This window comes from Homo sapiens, chromosome 1 (assembly GCF_000001405.40).
Source record: "Homo sapiens chromosome 1, GRCh38.p14 Primary Assembly".
NCBI classification, from domain to species: domain Eukaryota; kingdom Metazoa; phylum Chordata; class Mammalia; order Primates; family Hominidae; genus Homo; species Homo sapiens.
In genome coordinates, this window is record NC_000001.11 from 213,895,963 (window position 1) to 213,920,060 (window position 24,098).

Sequence of the window (24,098 nt, forward strand, 5' to 3'; positions counted from 1 at the left end):
AAATGACAGGAAAACTGCAATAAATAACCCTATTTGAAATGGGAAATAAGAGACGAGACACATCATGGTCCTTGGCAATGCTGAAACCTTTCTGTGCCAACATGGTGAAGCTCAGATATTCTGGGTGGGGTGGAGATGTGTGGACTTGACTCTGAGAAGGACTCCTGTATTTGCTCTTCTCCTTAGCCACATGTGAAGTAGGCTCAGGTGAACACATTTTCCTCCGGAGCAGTACAGTTCTAGAAGCCTGACATTTGCTTGGTCTGCAATGTGTTGGGAACTCAAAAGTTGTTTTAAGCCTGGACCAAGCAAAGGCCTTTTAAGTCCAGGCTCCTGGTTTCATCGTAATACAATTATCAAAATCTTAGATGATGTAGATCTATTTGCTTCTAGTCAGTCCCAAGTGCCAGTAATTATACCTAGAGTTACTTTCTAAACATTATTATCAAATTTACCTTTTTTTCTTTGTTTCTTCACCTCCATGCCTTTTTTTTCCCAACATAATTACCAAATTACATTGAGGCTATAAGAAACAATAGGTGAGAAGACCACTCGACTTATCTGATTTTCACCTCAAATGACCTCATTCAGATGAGAACTTTTGCTAGATATTTATCACTTAAAGTCATTTTTGGTGCCCTATTTTACTGTTTGAGTCTAAAAGAAATTTATTTTTTCCAACCCTATGAGTCCAAATTTCTTGATTCTGTATTCCACTCTATTTCTGCTTGCAAACTCAATAATTATTTCCTGAGTCATCTCTTTCTTGTAACTTTCTTGTAATACATGAAAGAGATATTCCAACATTAGCCAATACCACTATTAAAATTTTGTTTGCTAACCATTTCCCCTAAAGATATATACCAGGCACATGGACTAACTTCTAACTAATAGCAGGCAATAGTTGGATTTATCACTATATAACATTAATTACCATCTTTCCATTTTCTGGTATTAGTTTCCTTCCTGCCAGATTCTGTATTACTAAACCAATGATAAATACTTAGGATCATGTAAAGGTTAAGGAATATGGTTTGATTATGTCAATATCCCACTTCTGGTACCAATTTCTAGATTACAGCAATAAATACCAGTTGCTGTAACAGCAATCTCGGTGATTTCACACACAGTTTTATTTCTTCCTTAGGTAGCTATCCAATACAAGTCTAGAAGTTCTCCTTGGAGGCTCTCTTCCAAGCAGTGACTCAGGAACCCAAACTCCTTCCATATTCTAAGGCTAGAGTCTTAAACCAATGGCCTCTTAGCTGATTGTGGAAGAGGAAGCAAAAACTGAAATATTCTTTAAGATGCTTTTAAGGGACATGACTAGAAGTGGCTTATATCCCTCTGTCCTAATTTTTTTGACTGGAACCCTGTCACATGGCCTCAACAAAACTGCAAAAGGAGAAAACGAAGTCTTCCTGTGTGCTCTGGGATAGGAAATGGGATTGGTGATTTTTATGGCTATCTATGTTGTATTACAATATGTCATTCATTTACTTGACTCCTCATTGATGACTGAATAAACTGAGAAAAGATTATCTTTCTTATCTTTCTTTTCTCAGTCACCAACTAGATGCTTCAAAAATAACATTTTTATATTAAAAACACAGGTTCAACCTACTTTAAAATTACTTATGAGGGATTTAATGCAAGTAAAATATTTCCCATTTAACAAATGAGACAAGATGGAAACACTGACAGGTTTCAAGGGACCCACTGTGAATTATCCAACAATCAGTAATACGGTACTATGGCCAGGTAAGTTCACCTGGCTCAGGTAGTTGCCTAGGTGCCATGAAATAGAGTTTCTGGCTTCCCAAGGTCTGTCTGTACTTGGTACACATGGAACCAGAAGCTCGCAAATACTCCTGTGGCATGATACAATGGTACTGAGAGGCAGGAGGACATGTGGAAGCCTGGGATTAGAACAAGTTGGCTACAGAGTGTAAGGACTCTACCTCCAGATGCAAATGGCCAGGACCATGGGTAGGACTAAGGGCAAACTCTAAAAGACACAATAAAGGAGCCACTCCTCTGCGACGCCAGCCCAGGGACCCAGGCAACAGGCCAAACCCATCCTGCAGCAAGACTCAGAGACCTTGCAGAGACCAGTAAGGACTTGGAGGTAACAAGCAAACCCAAGGTCCCCTGCCCCCACCACCATGAGGGTACTTCCACCTCCTTCCCTGAAGGAGATTTCTTTTTCTCTCAGTCTGCGATATTTGCATTTTTTCCAATTAGTACATTCATTCATTGACAAAAAGTTCAAGTTGCTTTTCTAGTTCCTCAGCTTCTCAGGCTTCTGGTCTGAATGGTCATTGTCTGGACAAATCAGGAGCTGGGAGCCTGCTAGCTGGGCCATGTAGCCTGGCAGAGGTGCCTTCAGGTGCTTACGTGCTCCCTTTAGATACTGAGTGTTTCACCAGAGCCATGGACAGACCAGAAGGTAAGGTGTCATGGTCACTTGGAACTTAGCAGCTTGCAGGAGCACCTGGGGAGAGGATGCAAGTCTTTAAAAGATACTTTAAAAACAAATGCTTTCCAACATTCGGGCATCACATCCTATGGAGCATGAAGCATGTAGCAGGACAATTATGGTGGGCTTTCCGAAGTCATGGAAAAGACTAAAAATGGCCCCTTTCTTAGGACATAAGGAAAAATAGGCATTGAGCCAGTGGAAACCAAGAAGGAAGCCAGAAAGAAATGGAAGCTTTCCTGCTTTTCCTTACTAGTTCCTTTCTGCATTAAAAGCCAATTTTACTAGCATTTTGTCAGCCAGAGTCTTTTGTAAACAAGCACTTCCAATTTCTCAAGCCAGTGAAATGGAGATTCATAAAGATGTTTTAAGAATTGCAAGCCTGAAATGCCTTGGTGCGTCATTAATATAAATTAAATACGATCTGCATTTTTAAAAACCATTGCGTAATAATACTTATGAAAACTGGTAATTAATATTTAGAATGTTTAGAACATCTACTTAAATATTTGACTTATGGGCCAGTATTGCTATGGAATGTGCTAAGAATTGACTAACTAGCACCATGAAAATCCATGTACTTCAGAATTCAAAAGAGAAGATCGCATCCCAAACCTGATAATTTATTAATTGTGTGAACTTCACCAGGTCCTTTAAACTCTCTGTGCCTTATTTTTCTCATTTATAAATGAGGATAATGATATCTCCCATCCCTGGTTATTAAGCTTCAATGAGATGGGCATGTGCCCATGCTTAGCACATACTTGCACAAAGGAGGCACTCAACAAATACAGCTGCTATTGTTATGATGATGATGATGATTTTTTAATACTGCTACTACTAGCTGTGTGAGCTTATTTGAGTTCCTAACCCTTTCCTTGTTGTTCTAGCCAGCCTCTGCTCACCCCCGCATTCTGGCCTTGCATACCCACAGTAGAACACTAAACGTTTTCCCAAGTTCTGTTATCAGTCCCTCCTTTTCTCATAAAAAAATATAATAAAAAGAGTTACTTGAGAGTGTCTGAGACTCTTTCAGAGTAACTCCCCCTCCAAAGAGACACCTCCCTCTGCCCTTGTCTTGGTTCTTCCCATCATTTCCTCTTCCTCTGGGTCAGACCTGGATAAACTTGCGGTTTCCTTCCTTCGTGCTCTCTGGAGAGCTGAGTGCTGCACACTTGAAAGCCTAAAAACTTGTCATTTCCACCTTGAACTAGTGGCTGACCTCACCAGACAGCCTGAGAAATGAATTAGTGTCCTTAAGCGGAGGCAGAATATGAACAGTGACCCAGCTCTCCTAAGCAACCACAGCAACTGTCAAGCGGTAGTTAAAGTTCCCTTTTTCCCAACCCCTTTAATTATGTTGAAAACTATGTCATATTGTTTTTGAAAAAGTTAATGAAATAGTAGGTAAAGGTGAACCAAGGAACATAATTTACTTGGATTTCCTTGCAAGCTTTTGATAAGGTCCCTCATAAAAGGCTATTAAGGAAAATAAATGACCAGAAGGCTGTGAGCAAAAGTCTTTCTGGTGTATTAAAAACTGGTTAAGCTATTTTAGAAGGAAGAATCCCTGATGCTGGCTACTTCTTGGAGCAGAGAAAGGTTAATCACAAACTGTCCTTAGTATTAGTATTTGGACTTCAGATATTTGAATGATTTATAAAGGAAAAAAAGCAAAGTTGGCCAAAGACAAAAAATTATTATTTCTTTTTTACTTCCTTAGACTTTTATTTTTTAACAACATTCTTTTCATTTTATTTTTTAAGCTGACAAATAAGAATTGTACATGTTCATGGAGTACATAGTAATGTTTTGGTACATATAAACTATAAGTGATCAGATCAGGGTAATTAGCATATCCATGACCTCAAACATTTGTCATTTCTCTGTGTTGGGAACATTTGATACTATTCTAGCTATTTGAAACTGTATTATTGTTAACCATAATCATCCTACAGTGCTATAGCACACCAGAACTTATCCCTCCTGTCTTGCTATAATGTTTTATTCTTTAACAAATCTCTTCATCTACTCTTCTCTCTCCCCTTGGAATTAACCTTTTTTAAAATTTCAATGAGTTTTGGGGGAACAGGTGGTGCTTGGTTACATGGATAAATTATTTAGTGGTGATATCCAAGATTTTGGTGCACCCATCATCCAAGCAGTAAACACTGTACCCAATGAGACACAAAATTATTACCATGGTCAAACCTCCAAGTTTTTGGTATGAATGCAGGACCCTCGTCCATCAATAGAGAATGCATTCCTGGGAGAAAGATCTGGGCCCACCCAAAAGATACAACCTCCAAAGATGGGAACTAAGCTCTGAAAACCTTTCAGAGTAAGATAAAAACGCTTCTGACTTGCGTGGCCCCAGTGCAGCCAGGCCTGAGGCTGGAGGGCAGGACACAATGATCTTGTGAGTGTCCTTCCCACCCTTCTAGCAGATGGTAGTTTAAGGCCATGAAAAATTAGAAATGAGTGGCATGGGTGGAAAGCATTGAAGCAATATGAAGACACTATTTTGCATGCTTTTCATTCCAAAATTGTAAAAGAATAATTCTATTGGTAAAGGAGAGCCAAAGAAATGTCATGGGGACTCAGGCATTAAGTACATTTCCTGTGTAATTTGTGTATTTGACCTGATGCAGCAGAAAGTAAACAAGAGATACTGAGACCTGCTTACTGCCTATTTACTGTAGGGGCAATGGGAAGAGCTGCATTTTTATGAAAGAAGACAGACCTCTTAAAGTGCTGATAATCTAACAACACGTTTATTCTCATAGGTATCTTCACCACTGCTCTCCCGCTCCCAAATATTTTCACTGTAAAGTGAGCCAGAAGAAATCATACCAATATCTGGGTGCTGATGACGTAAATCCCAGGTCCTCTTCCAGCCATGGCCCTCATTAATCTTTATGACACTTTTTCTTGAGCCTCACCTGCATTTCTGCAGGATCAAAAAGTCCTAAACACAAAAGTCACACTGCAACATCAATGGCAAAAATAATTCTAATCTAGGTTTGCCAAAGCTGCTTCTCTTCTGCCTAGTCAAGTACTAAAGTACTCTAGTTCATACATAGGGTGCCATTTATCCAGTAGGAAAGCACTTATTTTGAAAGACAGAGACTATGTGAAATAAGATGTTAGACATAGAAATATCCCTCTCAAAGAATCCAGCAATAAACCCACACAAATATAATTGTTTATATTTTGGCAAAAGTGCAAAGGCAATTTAATAGAGAAGGGATAGGCTTTTTCAACAAATGGTAGTGGAACAATTGAATGTCAATATGCCAAAAGAAAAAAGAAACAAAGAAAAGAAAGAATTGTAACACATACTATCTACAAACATTTACTAACAATGGATCATATACTTAAATGTAAATGTAAATTACAAAATTTCTAGGAGAAAATCTTTGTAACATTAAGTTAGGCAAAAAGTCATTTGATACAACATCAAAAGTACTATCCACAAAAGGAAAAAAAATGGATACATGGAGCTTTATCTAATTTACTTTTTTATCTTTGTTCTGCAAAAGACACTATTAGGAGAATGGTGAAGCAAATCACGGATTGGAAGAAGACATTTGCAAATCTTGTATCTTAAAAAGGACTTGTATCTATCATATATATATATATGATACATATATATATATATAGATACATATATATATAGATAGATGATACATATATATATATATATATCACTTTTAGGCTAGGTGTGGTGGCTCATGCCTGTAATCCTAGCACTTTGGGAGGCTGAGGGGGGTGGATCACAAGGTCAGCAGTTTGAGACCAGCCTGGCCAACATAGTGAAACCCCGTCTCTACTAAAAATACAAAATTTAGCTGGGCATGGGTGGTGCACATCTGTAGTCCCAGCTACTCGGGAGGCTGAAGCAGGAGAATCGCTTGAACCCAGGAGGCAGAGGTTGTGGTGAGCTGAGATCACGCCACTGCACTCCAGCCTGGGCAACAGAGCAAGATGACATCTCAAAACAAAAAAACAAAAAACAAAAAATAAACAAATAAAAAACGCTTTTAAAAAGCAATAATTAGAAAACAAAGTCCCCAATTCAAAGAAATGGGCAAAAGATTTGAATAGACACTTTACAATAGAAGATGTATAGACAGTAAATAAGCACATAAAAAAGGTTCAAAATCATTAGTTCTTAAGAAATTACAAATTAAAACACAATGCAATGCCACTACAGACCTACTTGAATGGCTAATTTTTTATTTATTTATTAAACCATACCAAGTACCAGCATGAGGAGCAACTGGAATGCTCACATATTGCTGGCAGAAACACAAAATGGCACATTTTGGCAGATTCTCATAAAGTTAAAAACACATGTATTACATGACCCAGTAATCTCACTCCTAGATATTTACCTAAGAGAAATAAAAACTTGGTTTTATGTAAAAACCTACAAATGTTAATCTCAGTTTTTCTCATAACAGCCCCAAACCAAAAGTCCTTTGGTGAGTCCAAGAATGGATAAATAAACTGCACACACACCTACACCACCCAGCAATAAACAGGAGCAAACTCCTGATGCATACAACAGCAAAAGGATGAACCTCAACACACCTGCCAAGTGAAAGAAACCAGGTCTAAAAGGCTAGGTGTTGTATAATTCCATCTCCATAGCACTCTAGAAAAGATCCAAAGAACAGATCAGTACTTGCCAGGCCTTGGGAGTAAGGAAGGGGACTGAATATCAAAGTATGACCCAGGAAATGTGGAAGGCAGGAGCTGGGGCTGGGCAGGGGCCTGGGGATGGTGATGGAGCCGTGCTTTATCATGGCCGTGTAGTAGATCCACAGCTGTGCATTTGTCAAAACCCTCAGATCTGTACACTCCCCAAAAAAGTGAATTGTATTGTTTTAAAATTTGAAAAAAATTAAGACAACACAACCCAAAACCAAAACAAACCACAACAAAACAAAAACAGAGGCTGTTATGATAAAAGCTGGGATTATCATTTGTGTATAGGTTTTCACATAAGTGATCATAATAATACATTGTATTTACATTTCATATGGACAAACTTCATTTCCTTTGCAAGAAAACTAGCCCAAATTGGGGTGCAGTCTGCAGTCATGTTCTGCTATGTCACTAACTGCCTCAGATGACATTGGATTCCTGACCTCCTCATTAACTCACACACACAGAGTGGTCAAGCAACCTTTTCCAGACTACTCTGCTTGCCTCCAACTGTGAAAAGCATTATTTGATGTTCTTAAATATTACCCTTCGCCTTTAACTGTACATAATAATTATGTTACCAGGGGTGATGCTAATGACAACGAAGCATCTGCACTACTTCCTAAAGCTCCAGGACAGGACACCTGTGTTTCAAGATGTAGTACTATGACAAGAGTTACAGCCTGCATCCCCTGGGTACCAGCGACGTTGGGAAACTCAATTGGTCCTGCAAACCACCATAGCCACCCTGCATATGCTAAAAAATGCTGGGAGTAATTAAGTGGTGATATATTTTTTTTTCTTAGTATGATTTTCCAACTGAGGAAAGAGAAAGATACACAAAGATTATAGTCATTCCCCAGTGTCTGTGGAGTACTGGTTCCAGCATCCCCTACAAATATCAAAATTCAAGGATACTCAAGTCTCTGATATAAAATGGTGTGGTGTTTGCATACAACCTATGTACATCCTCTTGTGCCTACTTACAATGCCTAATACAATGATGTACAGTACAGACACCAATCGTATATTTTTTCCTGAATATTTTTGACCTGCAAAATGGTTGAATCCACAGATGTAGAACCCACTGATATGGAGGGCTCACTATATTTCGGAGCAAACATTAATTATCATTGAAGAAAGCAAACATATTTCACTAAAAGCCCCAATACTTATTTCAATACAAACAACCCAGCCAAAGACCATCATGTAAAAAAGTTATACAGCAAGACTCTTTTTGTTACAAATATTTACTGAGGTATCTGAGTTTAAAGCCACTCAGAAACTCAGAGCAGGCCCCATTCCCAGATGGCATAACTACCTACTCAAACTTCAGGACCTGGGTCATAAGCAAGAGCTGAAACAAAAGCAAACCTTTCATTATTTCCAACCAGACCTAGAAACATTAAACCTTTTCCTCAGAAGCATGAGAAGAAAGAATGAACAACTAAATTTTAAAAACGGCAGCTCCTCAGCTCCATTTCCCCAAAATGGGTCAGGTGGAAATTAATGGCTCTTTCTTCTGCATTATTAGTCATTTGTGTACTTTTACAGTGCTGTACTTAACACAATCTATTGTCATTAATTGTCATAGACTCATCCCAATGCGCAGATGTCCTCAATGGGTTGTGAGCTCCTCGGTGGCAGGGCCAAGCATTATGATATTTGTTCTCCCAGAACCTATTGAAGATCTGATACATAATGTGCAGCCATAAATGTTTGAAGAATAAAAGAAAGAAGGAGGAGGAAAGCAAAAATGTAGGGGAAAGACATCGTGAGAGGAGAGAAAGAAAAAAAAGTAGGAAAGGTAGGAAGAGAGGGAAAAAGGAAAGGTAGAAAGAAGGGAAAAATGAAAAGCAGGGAGGGAGGAAGGGAGAAAGGTAGGGAAGGGGAGAGGAAGGAATGACAAGGGAGGAAGGAAGGACAAGAAGGAAGGAAGGAGGAAGGAAGAAAGGAAGGAAGGGAGGGAGGGAGGGGAGAGGTGAGGGAGGGAAGAAGGAGGGAAATAAAATGCGCCTTGGATAGAGAAAATGAGGACACATAGGGTGACTTGAAAGGCAGAGAGGTGTCTGGCGTGGGAAGGTGGCAGCCATGGGCCAGCCTGATCATCTGGGGGCCCGTTCCCCAAATCTGCCTATGCTTGTGTGGCCAGCCCACTCTCCCTGAGATCCCCACTACCCTTTGTCCCTCCCGCTGCAGCCCCGGGGATGTCAGAAGCCATTGTGCAGTTGAGCACACGGCCAAGCCAGCAGCTGAGGCAGGAAGCAGGGCTGGAGCTGCTGGCTGGAGTTGCTGGGCCCGTGTGTCCTGCTCCCTGCTGCAGGCCTGGGTGCCAGAGCCAGAGCAGCCGGGTCAGGGTGGCGACGCACTGCTGGCATGGCCAGGCTCTCACACGCTCTCCTTTCCAATGGCCCGGCCGGCATTGCTGGGGAAACGGGAGGGGCCGGGCAGCCAGCAGCCGAGAGTGAGAACTTCCCCTTGCCAGAGCCAGCTGCTGGCTGCCATCTGGGCAGGGGCAGTGCCAGTTTCCCAAATCTGCCTTCCCTTTGGAAAAGGGGGAGAAAACTCTGTGCTGAGAAGATAGCTTCTCCTCCATCCTGAGGCTCTCAGTTAAAAACCCAACAAAACCAGCCTTTGAAAAAGGAAGGGATGAGAAATGCCACATGTTGGGCTGTTTCCAAAGGAATTTGCCTCTCCCGGGCCTTTACTTCCAAAAAAACTCTTTATTCATGCTCAAGATCCCTTGGTTCTTTCATTTCACTCCACAATAACCTTTCATTTTAGTTTAAAGTTAAATGTTTAAACAAATAACATGCGGGTATCTGTGTGTCCTTTACACTGGTCACATAGGGATTGTTCACCGTAAGCTGGGAATTCCCTGAGAGCTGTGACTTAGTCTTCCTCATTGATTCTGTAGGTTGAGTAACCCAGCACCTCATCTAAACTGGTGCTGCCTGGATGCTTTCTGATAAATGCAGTCATTCATTCACTGGATACTTACTGAGCACCTTCTGAGCATCAGCACAGGGTGGTCGCTGAAGAATTAAAGATCTGGTCATATTCTCAGAGTTTGGGGAATGAAAGCAAACCTTCCCGTCCTTCTGGATGTCAGGGGAATGGACACTGTAGCTACTGTGTGTTGGCGCGAGTGTGTCCTGCAGAGGATCCCAACCCCGAGACCACGTTATTTACTGTGCAACTACTATATTCCTAGGAGACAGGTGGGAAAAGAGTTGGCACCTGACAGAGCACAGAATCAGGGAGACCTTCCACAGGCCCAAAAAACAGCCAAGCTTTATCCAAGGTGAGTGTCAGTATTTTCAATAAGCCTCCCACATGGGCACTAACAAATCAGAACAGATACTGGCTGGGACCAACCAGTGCTGCTACCTTTGTGCATCCTATCTGAATATGAATCCTGGATTTATTGTTTATCAGCCCCTTACCTTTCAGATCCTTCTTTTCTGTCTTGATATCTTTCTTCTCAGCGAAGGACACAGCCAACCCAACTTCCCAACATCACAAATACTTGTTGAAAATTGCCCGAGTGGATGGGCGCAGGGATAGAAGTCCCTGTGCTCCATGAAGACCCCAACTTGGCAGAGATCCTCATGGTGGGGCTTCCGATGGATTCCTCCATCTTTGCTGACATCTTCATTCTGAAGCAGCTCTAAACATACCTGTTACTCATGTAATAGTTGGAAGAGGCAGGCTGAAAGCCAGGGAAGCCTCAAGAGTGAGGCTCACTCTCTGAAATACAGGGTTTGGTCTCCCAGCTCTGAGGCCTTAATATTTAGCTTGCCTAGGAGCAATCAGGCCCTAAGAAAGACTAGTTCACATTGCCAATCTCATAGGAAAAGTATCTGGCATTTTAAAGTGTTTCCTAAGTAGTTTTACAATGAAAGATACATGTAAACACAGCTTGCATAGTATTGAGTCTACAGTGAACACTCCTTTGATGAATTTAAATTGAATGATATCATTTGAGCCTCACCACATCGACTGAGATGGCCAGGGCAGGCATTAGTAGTTCCTGTTCCGTAGCCCCACAGAGGTAAGAGCTTGTCCAAGCTGGTGGGGTAAGTGTCAGCTAGACCAGAAGGTGGGTCTTCTGCCACCTCATTCAGTGCTCTTTCCAGAAGCTAAGTGACTAACTGATAATAGAAACTTCAGCATCCTAGTGAGGACACTCACTGGAGAAATGAAATCAAGATCAGAAGTTGCCCTGATGGATACATAGATGAAATCATAGAGGATCTGTTGATGAAGAGCGCAGGTTTTGACTCCTGGTGCTCTTCCTTGTTGACCCAACAGTGTTGGGCAAGTTAAGAGTCTCCGCAACTCTCCTCTCTGCGTTCTCATCCATAGGAAGAAAACAGCACCTTTCTTTTAAGATTGCTGTAAGGACTGAACTAGGTAACAAAGGATCCTTACTTCAGGGTCCAGCCTAGGGTAGATGTTCCATATATGATAATAATTTTTGCTATTTTTATCACTTATTTCTGAAAAGGTAAATTCCACCCTCAGGCTGGAAGGCTGTTCTTGACTGCTTTGTGCTACCCAGAGCTCCTGTTATTTGCTGTCTCCTGCATGAGGTGGGAGGAGACATTTATTCACATATTGGTATTTTCCTGTGTTAATCCTACCTATGCCCCTCCTGGGAACATTTGTTTGTTTGTTTATTCAGCACTGACTCTCTTCCAGTCATCTCCTAACACTTTAGAAATATTAATTCATTTCTGCTTGAACCTGGGAGGTGGAGGTTGCAGTGCACCACTGTACTCCAGCCTGGGCGACAGAGCAAGACTCCGTCTCAAAAAAAAAAAATATTAATTCATTTCATCCTCATAATAACCTTTTAGGTAGGAACTATTATTATCCCCATTTTACAGGCAGGAAAAATAAGGCACAGAGGTGAAGTCAATATGTAGCAAATGGCAGAGCCAAGATTAAAACCAGGCAGCCCAGCCACAGAGCCTATGTGTTTATCCACTAAACCCAATGGTCCCTACATTCAAACAAGAGATACGTCTTGAATAAAACAAGTTTGTGGCCTTGTAGAAAAGGTGCTTGTAGGTAGGGTTCCCTTTTAAGACTCTCAAATCTCACTTCGAAATCTATCTCCTACTCTCTACCAAAAACCTGGGTAGCACTGGGGTCTCTTCCTACAGGCTTCTTGAGTGCTGAGACTTGATAAGCCAGAGCCAGGGAAACTGACTGATTTGCCTAAAAGTCCTTAGCCATAAGTTCACAAAAATTCATTTTCTAAATGTCTTTCAAACCATAGCTTTGTGGCAGGCCCTGGGCTAAGACATTACCAAGAAGGTGTTTCCTGTCCTCTGAGAACCTACACTTATGGAATACAAGACAGTTGCTGATGCACATGTGGAAATGCCAAAGGTCTGACAGCGATTCAGATAGACTCTAAAATGATCATAGAGTTGGAAAGACTCTAAAATGATCATCATCCCTTGGAGGGACCTTTGTGTGTGCACAGCCTGAAGGACTAAAACCTACTCACAGTGCATACGCAAACCCTGATGGAAGATGAGGGAAACTTACGCAATCATGAAAAGTACAGACAGAGTGAAAACAGATCTGTTCACAAATCCCAAAGCCCTGAGCCCAGGGGACACCTCCTGATTTGTTTCCAAAGCCCTGAGCCCAGGGGACATCTCCTGATTTGAAGAAGTTTCAGTACAAATAAAAGGGAATCCTACTTCGATACACTGGCAGAGAGGCAGCAGGTGTGAAAGCACATGCACAGTAGCTTCAAGAAGGGTTTTCATAAAGGTGGGGATACTAGAGTTACTATAACTCTAGTTATAGGGAAGCTAGGGTGCTTGAGTTGCATCATAACCAAGTCCCCATCAACACTTTGCCTTTGAATAGAGCTGGGTGTTTCCCATCTACCCTTGCCTGGGAGCTCATCAGGTCCCTGGGAAATTCTCAAGTCAGACATTATTAGGCGCACTGTATGTAGCTGGAAATGGAAGCTCTGAGAGGGTATTTTCTCAGTATTTGTAGCACTGGGACCTTTTCCATCTCCAAACTGAGGGTGAACTTGGTTTCTCAGCCAAGTGGAGACATCCGGGGACAGCCCAGGTCTATAGACATATTAAGAGTTTGCCATTTTCGTCCAAGCCACCAGGATCCAAGATGATCCTGAATAGAAACTTTTGTAGACCAGAGCAAGCCCAGCCATTCAGAGGACAAAACACCATAGCCACAAGCCCTTAGGTCTCCCCCACTAAAACCAGGCTCCCATGCATAACAGGCTCACGTGAAGATCTCACAGGGGGATAGGCTGTTGATTTTTTAAAAAAATAAAACAACGTATGAGTTTTATCTCTTTATCTCCTCAGTCCAGAGGGAAAAAAAAGAGCACAATCTGTCCTCCCAGTGGGACATCCACCTGATTAGATGTCATAAAACAGAGTAGTCCTTTAGTTAATAATGGCTGGAATACCTCCGACCCACAGTTACTGGAAAGAAAAAGAAACCTAACTACAGATAAACTCCCTAGGGTTTCAGATCCGTTTTGCAATAAGCTGTTATGAAGGAAACCTGGCCCCAAAAGATAGTTTGAATGCAAAATAAAGATAGTTCACATGCTTTGAAGCAGGGACAGGGCTCCTGTGGAAGCACCAGAATCATATTTTTGGAGGATCATTATATTTCCTGCTTCAAACTTTATTTGGGTCCCACCGTTCTTTTATACAACTTCTATTTTTGGTCATCAGAGGCGCCATGTCCTGCCAGGCAGGGGCCTCAGCAGGGCAGGTCTGGGCAGAAGAGGTAAGGATTGGATGCCTGGAGAGGGAAGAGCACTGGATAGGCAAGAGGCAGGCAAGGCTTGGGAACAGGTATAACCCACAGAGCCAGACAGGCTGGAAGTAGGGCCTGGCACAGCCTCAGGGTGAGCACCACGGGTTTATGGAACAAGACCCTAGGGTCCAGAAGGCTAGCGAATTATCAGGAAGGGACTGGAATATGGACACAGCAGAAGCAGGCAAGGACTCTCTGAGTTCTTCCATACAGCCTGTCGCAAGACAGTGGGCAGGGGCATGAGTTTCAGCCCAGGAGGTGCAGGATGCATCTGATTAAGACACAGGCAGAGGTGTTATGCTTGCTGGATGGTTCCTACAATCAGGGGCCTTTAAAGGAGGAAATGAAAACACATGTGGTCTTAAAACATAGATGTATACTAAGGCTCCATCATTTGTTTGTCCACGGATTCATGGGTCTCCTAAGAACGAACTGCCATGCAAAAGTGATGGAAATAGACAGGAGAATCCTGACCGGCTGGCCAGTGTCTATTGAGAACCTGCTTTGTGCTCAGCCCGGGAGGAAGCAAGGGAAGAAAAGGCAGCTGAGATGAGACATAAAACAAATGCAAGTCAGGGTCCTTGTCATCAAACTGGTTGAAGGGACAAAACCAATCCTTGTGAAATAACTTGGCAGAACGACTTGGAGGAGACCTTCCTTCTCTTCGCAGTACCTTCCCCAATAGAAAGAAATTCACTTTTGTTGAAAAAGATGCTGGCTTTACTGGGCATTAGTATCAGCTGGTGCCTTTAACTGGAAAATTCAGAAGAGAACTGAATTTCTTTGTAACAGAAAGAAGGAGGTATTCAGTGAATATTTGGGGAAGAGTTCAGAGAGAAAGAGAAGCAGAAAGAGACCCAGAGGTCCATGGCTAAAGAGGACCTTGAGGAGAGAAGGTGAAAATCCTGGTCTTTGTGGTCTTGGTACATGTGGTCTCATGTAGCTTTCTCCTCCATCTCCCCATGAAATCATAGTCAGCTCTGCATCATTCGTTAATACTTTATGGGTTGAGTCTGTTTGAGGGGATGTGTTAAAGCCCCAAATCCAACTTAAAGAAGTTCATAGGCAAAGGAAGAAGAAATACGTTTCCTGTCTTGTGAGAAAAACTATATGCACAAGTTACATTGAGGACATGTTTAGCAATGCATTAGCAAATTTAGATGTGAAATACATGTGCTTAGGAAGTTCAGAGTTAGGAAAATAATCTAAGGATCGGGGGGCAACCAAGGTAGTCTTCCTCAAAGAAGCAAATTTTGAACTAACTGTCCCTTGGGAGATAGATTCAGCACTCTGAAATACAGAAGAACTTGTGTAATTTCACAGAGACTCAAAAATATATACACTGTTTCCTGACCTCAACTCAAGATATGGACATGTGCCCTCAGCTATGCCAACATCTACCATACAGGAAATACAGGCATGCAGCAAATCACATATCCATTACACATACTAGATAGCGTTTAACATCTTTCAACCTGTGCAAAAGTGGCCACTGCTCCCACTGGGATGTCGTACAAAAAGTTTTCATTAGTATTTTAACCGTGTCACTGCCGAAGTGCAGAAAAGTCAAATTTATAACATGTTAGACGTTTTTAGTGGAAAATGCAAATACATAGCAGAGAAGGTTGGGCACATGTCCCTTGAAACCATTATCTCACAAAGTTTAACCCAGGTCTAGGTCTTTCACAGAGAAAGGCTATTCAATCTCAAGCAATATCCAAGATCATCTTATCAAAGTCAGGACTGAAGCTTCAAAGGATATGAATAGTCAACTCAGAAAATAAGAAACACAAATAGCCAATGAAATGTATAGATATTTTAAATCCAGACTCACTGAAAGTTAAAGGAAAGCAAATAAAAAATGATATGATACCATTTTTGCCCTAATTTTAGAAAATTAGAAATAATGAAATAGTTGCTTATTGGTTCAGATGGGAGTTCAGATCTCTTACAAAGTGAGTGGGATTGCAGTTTGGTGCATAACCTTCACAGGAGACCATTTCTACCAAAAGCCCTAGCCGTGTGCATTTCCTCTAATCTGCAATTCCACTTCTAAAGTCATGTCTGGGTGGAATACCCAGGTAAATGGACAAAGATGTGTGTATAAGGATTTTCATCAGACTAGTCTTTAAAACACTGAAAAATTGGAGACTACCTAAATGTGTAGCAAAAGTAGGTTATTAAATAAAGTACAATACTCATTCAATGAAATACTATCTCACCATTTGTAGTAATAACGTAAGGTTTCATGACACAGAAAAAATGTCATAATACATAGCAAGATGTTGTAAATGAGTAAAGCAGGTTCCACACAATATATAATACAATGAGTTTTGTAGTAACAAAAATAGTTCATGTGTTTAGTTGTTAAACCAAAATAAAAGCTGCATGCCAGCAGTGGATCTTCTGGATGTTAAATGCTATCTTGAAAAGTGCCTGGCATAAAATAGGGAATCAAGAAATATTTGTTAATTAAATAAATTCTTGCTTACTATGCAGCAGGCACTGTTGTAAACGCATGGTATAGTATCTCATTTTCACAGCAGCGCCATGCTCTAAGTCTTTCTGTGAACTCTGCAGAGCTGTGAGGAAGCTGAGGCACAGAGAGGTTAAGCATTATGACCCAGGTCACCCAGCTAGTAAGTGGCGAAGCCAGAATTCAAACTCAGCAACCGGAATCCAGAGTCTTCATTCAAACACTTTGTTAATATATATATGTAGAGCAAATTCTGGAAGGATAGACACCATTACATCTTCAGCAGTGATTTGGGCAGCTCTAGGTAGTAAGATTACTCAAGGTTTTGTTTTTTCTTCTTGCTTGCCAGAGATTTCTAATCTCTCTCCAGTGCAGATGTAAAAATTACTTTCTTTAAAATGTATATAGATATTACTTTTAAATAGCATGCCGTTTTGTTTAGTGGATGCTTTCTCTGGCCAGAAGCAAAAGAAAAGAAAAGAAAAGCAGAGGAGAGGGTTTCTCAAGGAAGAGGGGAAAGATGAGGAACAAGTAGAGGGATCATGGTTCCCAATCCCCAGACCTGAATACCGTATTGAAAGCTAGATTTTCATGTTGTAAAACAAAGTAGAACATTTCTAGAACCTACAAGCCCCTTAATTCCTCATTATCTGTACTGCGCCCTTCAACCCAAGAGGATTCCAGGATGCTTCCTTGGGGTTGCCACTCACTTGGACAGACACGTGGTGGCCCAAAGTGGAGAGGTGGAGAGCCTCTTGCATGGACATCTCCACGTGGACACAATCATTCAAGTGCCATTGCGACAAGTGTTTTTTGACCTCCTACTCTGTGCTGGGCACTGGGTGGGCATGAAGGATACAAATTCATTTTTTGTTTGCTTTTGTTTTTAGAGAGAGGATCTCACTCTGTCACCCAGGCTGGAGTGCAGTGGTGTGATCCTGGTTCAGTGTAGCCTCGATCTCCTGGCCTCAAGTGATCATCCTGCCTCAGTCTCCTGAGTCACTGGGATTACAGGCATGAGCCACTGTGCCAAGCTCCTGAAGAAAACAAAAGATACGATACCTGCTTCAAGAAACTCAGAGACTGTTGGAAAGACAAACTGAAACACACAGCTAATGTATTAAGGAGCTAACAGAAAGAAGTTCAGGAGGCTGCAGGAGCACACGGGAGGGACTCTAATTCCTGCAACATCTTGTACTTAACTTTATCATAGAACTCGTTTCATTTTCAAATGTATTTGTGTGCTTTGTGATCCATCTGTCCAATGATCTATTAACTCCTTGAGGACTGGCACTGTCTCTTATTCATGTCTGCATCTCAGCGCCTGGAACACAGTAGGTTGTTTAACCAGCAGATTTGCTCAAATAATTGTCTCCATAGGGAGATGGCTTTGTAGGCAACTTCTACAGTTTGGCCCATTGAGGATAAGGTCAAGGTAGAAGAGAATACCTAGAAACCGCTGTAGCTCAGACAGAGCGAACCAGGTGAATAGACAAGGAGAGGAAGAAAAGAATTCTTGGACTGACCAAATGAACACAAAGGCAAGACCCAGTTAAGAAACGGTTATATTCCAGTCAAAACAGACGTGGCTGAATGAAAGATGAGGCTGGGGTGGTGAGCAGAGCTGAGTCATGAAGGTGCTTTAATTCACACTAAGAAGTACAAATTTTATCTTGCAAACTAGGAGGATTCCAAGAAAAGAGGAGACGTGGTAAGATTTGATTACAGGAAATCAGTCTGGGAGCACTATTGAAAGAAGAAAAGGGGTAAATCAGAGGCAAAGAGGCCAGTTAAAACAGATTACTGCAAGAAGGCAACCAGGAAACTAACCAGGGCCTGGAGGAAGGCAGGAGCTTCAGAGGTGGAGAGAAAAAGACACCCCAACATTATTTTCCTCCTAGACAGCTTGAAATGATTCTCAGGCAGGCAGAACAGTTAAAACCTGGTGTCGAGTGTGGAAAAGGCAAAGTTGATCTTAAGTACCTAGCCATCCTGCCTGCTCAGCAGCACCAGTCAATCCCCCGAGGTTTCACACCCCACTAGCACCTCGGAGCACACTCCCCCAACAGGCAGTAACGAAGACATCCAGGCAGCCAGAGAAACACTCAGAAGCAGTGGCAGAGGGGGAAAAAAGTGCATTACAGAGCCCAACATCTGTGTCTAGCAGCTGCCAAGCAACCTCCATGTGTTTCTGCAGCTGTCGGTGTGGAAGCAATGGAAGACGGAACAGAAGGATGAAAAGAGGGTTCAGCAACAGGCTCTGAGTACCAGGCAGATAGGCAGGCTCTGGGGCAGTTGAGGCTGATTCACTGGGTGCTCTGGGGAGCTGTTGCTTTCCGTAGAGATTTGCCACACAGAGCCCTTAAGTAGCCAGGCCACTCCTAAGGCTGCACAGAGGAGGAGACCTATCACCCCACCTGAGCCAGGCAGCCCAGGAAAGCTGAGACCGGACTGGCCACAGCAACCTCCTTGGTTTGATTGCAAGGCCCTGGTCTCCATCTCTCTGAAGGTGTAGTATGATACATCACTTAGTGTTCAGTCAAATATGTGAATCAAAGTTAAGTACGGTGGGAGAATTGTTTGATAAGTTCATGAACCTTTTCCCACCAAATAATCAAAGAGATGACCCAGGGTCTCATCATTCAACCAAAATAGGGAATTACTGGTTTTGACATTCACCTTGGGAGGTCGGAGAAATGGACCATGCTGATTATCCACTCACTCGTCCATTAATTCAGAGGTTTATTAAGTACCTACCAAGTACATAAGAATATGCTAGGCTTTGTGGCAGCTGAGACAGAAAGAGAAGGTAATAATGCCTAGAATGTTTGTTATGCTGTACAACTTACAAAGACTTTTCACATCAATTACTTTTTCACAACCAAAGTGAATATTCAGTTCATTTGCACAGGACAGGCATCCCAGGTATGTACGGCCATCGACTATTCTGATTGGCCAGTGTCCTTGTGAACCAGGTATTAAACACAGCATTTTTAAAGACCACCTGTACCCACAGCAATGTGGTGAGGTCACATTTACATTCTCAAAGTATCTAGCCTGTGACCACTTTCTCCTGAGTGGTACTGCCAGGATTAGAACACTCAAGGAGCTCACACTAGAGTTAGAAGAGGAAGATATAAAGAGATCTGAAATAACTTCAGGGTGACATGAAAATGAGGGCTTGAAAGTGTGAGCCAGAGGTAAAATAAAAAATAAGGAAAAGATTGATGGGTACTCAAGGCAAACTTGGTAAAGAATAGCATTTTTTGCTGGGAGTTTGACAGTTGACACAGCCTTGAAGGAAATTAGAGATTTGGACAGGGCTTCTGTCATGGTTGTTATGAGAAGAAGCTCTAGAGACAAAATTTCTGGGTTGAAAATACAGCTTTCCATGTATCAAATGTAGATGATGATAATCACAGTGTCTACTCAAGGGTTTCTGAAGATTAAGAGACAATCTAGGTAAAGCGACTTACACAGAATGTGCTCCACAAATGGTCAGCGTTATTATTTCATTTCCCTTTGTAAATGGCAAATGGTATAGAGCTTCAGCAGAGGCTCTTCAGTGCCACCGGAAACATCTAGGATTCTGAGCTGCAAGCAACAGAAGTCACCTCTGGCTGATGATGATCTGTGAATAGCTAAAAAGAGAAGACTTTTATTGAAAGGAAATTCACAGAATCACCAGAAAGGCCAAAGAACTAGACCACAAAAAGAACAGGAACTGGATGGGTGCGGTGGCTCACGCCTGTAATCCCAGCACTTTGGGAGGCCGAGGAGGGCGAATCACAAGGTCAGGAGATAGAGACCATCCAGGCTAACATGGTGAAACCCCATCTCTACTAAAAAAAATTCAAAAAATTAGCTGGGCATGGTGACAAGCACCTGTGGTCCCAGCTACTCGGGAGGCTGAGGCAGGAGAATGATGTGAACCCGGGAGGCAGAGCTTGCAGTGAGCCAAGATCACTCCACTGCACTCCACTCCAGCCTGGGCAACAGAGTGAGACTCCGTCTCAAAAAAAAAAAAAAAAAAAAAAGGACAGGAACCAGGGACCAGGTTAGGTAGGCTACCAAGATCACAAGCCAATCATGCTGAAGAGCCACCAGGCAACAGTGCTGCTGCTGGAGCTGGACAGTGCTCCACAGCAGCACGGACAGACAGCAGGCACTGCTCTCCCACCATCACAGGCACTGGCTTGTATATCCCCTACAATGTCTCTGTTATTTTGGGTTTTCTGTTACATGCAGCCAAACTCATACTCTATCAAACATTACTAAGAAAATTTGAAAACTTGAAATTCAGCCACTTTTCTCATCATCTTAGATTCCTGCCCCCTGGAAAGGTAGGAAATTGTATCTGTGTGGTGGGACTTTGGCAATGTCTATGTGGACCTTTCTCTCCTGCCTCAAACCCTCCTCCACCCACTGTCCCAAAGACTCCTGAAGGCCTCAGTTCCTGCTGAAATATCCATATCCCTCTGAGGGGTAGCACTTTATGTTGTTGTAAGTTTTTGAATTTGTGAAAGACAGAATTAAGAATGTTCTGTTAAAAAGACAAGAAAGAATTTAGAAATAAAATATGGCATCACAGCATATACATAAGCCTCACACATTTGCCTAAAATTGGCCTGCGTGAGGCTAGATCCAAATAGAATATTACCATCATGACCCCTTCCTTATTGTGAATACCAATGGAAATTTTAATACACTTATGATGTTTGGGGCAGGTCTAACCACCTTTGATCCCAGGCAGAACTCCGACTCTCTAGGAAAGAGAGTCACCTGCATTATCAAGTGAGCACCATGATGTTCTTGAGCCCCATGAAAGGAGCAGGGCAGGGGAAGTTTTCCCTGGGAGAAGGAAAGTAGTCCTACTCCTCCTCCTTCTGTTCCTCCTCCTCCTCCTCCTCCTCACTGTCCCATATATCAGACTCTAACAGATAACACTGAGTCTTTCCCTGCCTTGTCCTTGACTTAACAGACACTTTGATTTATCTAGCAGTTGCTTTTCTTTTCACTTTAGGATCTCATCAATTTTACAGTTTTCAGTTGGCTCAGCCTACCTGTAAGTGAAGGAATCTATACGTGCTTTCTGTCTTCATAGCTTTGGGGAAATGTTTTAAGTGGTATTTGGTGATTGAAAGCAAGACATAATCACCCCATGATATGATTAGTCTTTGTAGTCCCCACCCAAATCTCATCTTGAATTGCAATCCCCGTAATCCCCACAGGTCAAGGGAGAGACCAGGTGGAGGTTATTGAATGATGGGGGTGGTTTCCCCCATGCTGCTCTCACGATAGGGAATTCTCACAAGATCTAATGGTTTTATAAGGGGTTCTTGTCCCTTTTCTTGGCACTTCTCCTTCCTGCCACCTTGTGAAGAAGGTGCCTTGCTTCCACTTTGTCTTCAGCCATGACTGTAAGTTTCCTGAGGCCTCCCAAGCCATCCTGAACTATGAGTCAATTTAAACCCCTCTCCTTTACAAATTACCCAGTCTCAGTCTTGGGCAGTTCTTTATACCAGCGTGAAAATGGACTGATATACCCCATAATGAAGAAACTGATGAAGGCCCCTCTAACAGTTTTTATATCACTGTTAAACCACACAGTCTCACTCTATGTTTTAGAGAGAAATGGCCAACATCATAATTATCAACAGCATAACTCTCCACACCATACCACCACGATGCCATCATGTTCTTTAAACCTCCCACTTAGTGGAAGATGGGTGTGACTAAATTGTCAATCCTGTGGTGTCTCTGGAGAGGGCCAATAAGTGGCATCCCTCTTTGCCTGCAATTGACAAATAAAGTAAAACAGTGGCAGACGGAAGCCAAAATAAAATCTTTATTACAATAAAGACCAAGCAGAAGGATACTATTTAGTATTTGCTCAAAGGAGGTCCAAGTCACATAAAAGCAAACTGCCAGTCAACAGGTTTGTTTAAATACCAGGGTTTTTTAAAATTCCCTTTTAAATAAAGAGCAAATGAGGATAGAAAAGAAACAAGATGGTTCTTTTGTTATTTTAATAGTTTTTGGGTTTTGTCTTGTGTAATTTTTTTCTGTCCCCCTCAAACCCTCCTCCACCCAATGTACCAGGCCTGAAAGATCACAAGGCAAGTGTTAATTCATATCCATGATCTGTAGGTATATGGAGAAAAATTTTTAAATGTACTTTTTTGTTCTTGCTTTTCATTTGGATTCCTCCTGTCAAGGTGCCCAGAATAATGCTTCTGGAACAGATGGAGAAGGCATATGAAGCCATGCTGGGAAGTCATGCTTCCAGAAATGGTGTTCATGTCAGCCGTGTTCTCCAACAGCAAGAACCAGAAGCGCCTACCACACCATCCTCTGGGCCCCGCACATGTGACCACCAGGACCTTTAACATGTGGCTCTTCCTAATATGTATTAGAAATATTACATATTTGTTAATTTGGTGCCCACTTGTAGAGACCCCATATTTTTCACCTTAAGGCCAACATGAACTAAGAGCTGAAGGAAGTGTTGTGGTGACCCAGCAACAGGAGTGAAGGTACATTCTCTACTTTGGCATGATGCTTGTGTTGGAAAGGATCCTGAGAGCAGTTAGGAGGACAGTAGCCACAGCTGCAGCCAAGACGAACAGGGTCACCCCAGAGGAGCAAAACACTATAGATAGCCCAGAGGGACAGCTGCTCAAGAAGAGCACTTGGCAGGCATCTGTAGGACATAAGGATATGGCGGGAAGCACTGAGACTCCAAGGATGCTCTTGTGGTGTCAGAGATTACTGTCTTATTATGGATAGTGTGGTTGGTATTCCTCAATTTTACCTCCAGACTAACGGGACCTGGGGGGAAATGGTCAACATCATAATTACCAACAGCATAACTCTCCATGCCATACCACCACGATACCACCATCTTCTTTAAACCTCTCACTTAGTGGAAGATGGGTGTGACTAAATTGTTGATCCTGTTGGGGGTCTCTGGAGGGGGCTAATAAGTGGCATCCCTCTTTGCCTGCAATTGATAAATAAAGCAAAGGAGTGGCAGATGGAAGGTGAAATAAAATCTTTATTACAATAAAGACCAAGCAGAAGAATACTGTTTAGTATGAGAGCCGCAGAATTAGGAGAATTGCTCTTTTAGGTACTGGCCATGTTGAACTGGGGGAGGGAGTCTGCTCACTGTAGATAGGAAGAGAACTCCTGCTTCTTGCAGGCGGCTGTTTCCCCAGAAGGAAAAGAGAGGGTTGGGTCAAACATGTTCCATTTATTTTTCCTAACTGTGTCAATCAGGCAAGTCACTTTACCTCCTCTGGAGGAAGCGAGTAAAGAGATGAAGAGGGTCCCAAATGCCACACCTTCAACATGGTAAGAAACATCAGGAATGGAGAACAAGCACCTCTGTATCATTGCAAAGGTGAAGAAACCAACAGAGAGAAGTTAAGAGATTTCCCTCATGATACCCAATTAGTAAAAGTGATGCCAAGCCCAATGACACTGTGTCATCTACGTATATGGACTCATCTACATATATGGACTCTCAGGGCAGGAGGGCTCCATCATACCTGTGGTCCTCAGCCATTTCCTAACCTTCCCCATTTGCCATATCCTCAC

The 24,098-nt window shown here is 42.2% G+C and overlaps 1 long non-coding RNA gene across 1 annotated transcript in view; it reads right to left on the minus strand.

Annotated features, from left to right (window-relative positions):
- The window catches only part of PROX1-AS1 (PROX1 antisense RNA 1), a 166,513-nt gene that overhangs the window by 76,322 nt on the left and 66,093 nt on the right, over positions 1-24,098 (minus strand). The gene's annotated exons all lie outside the window — the stretch shown is intronic.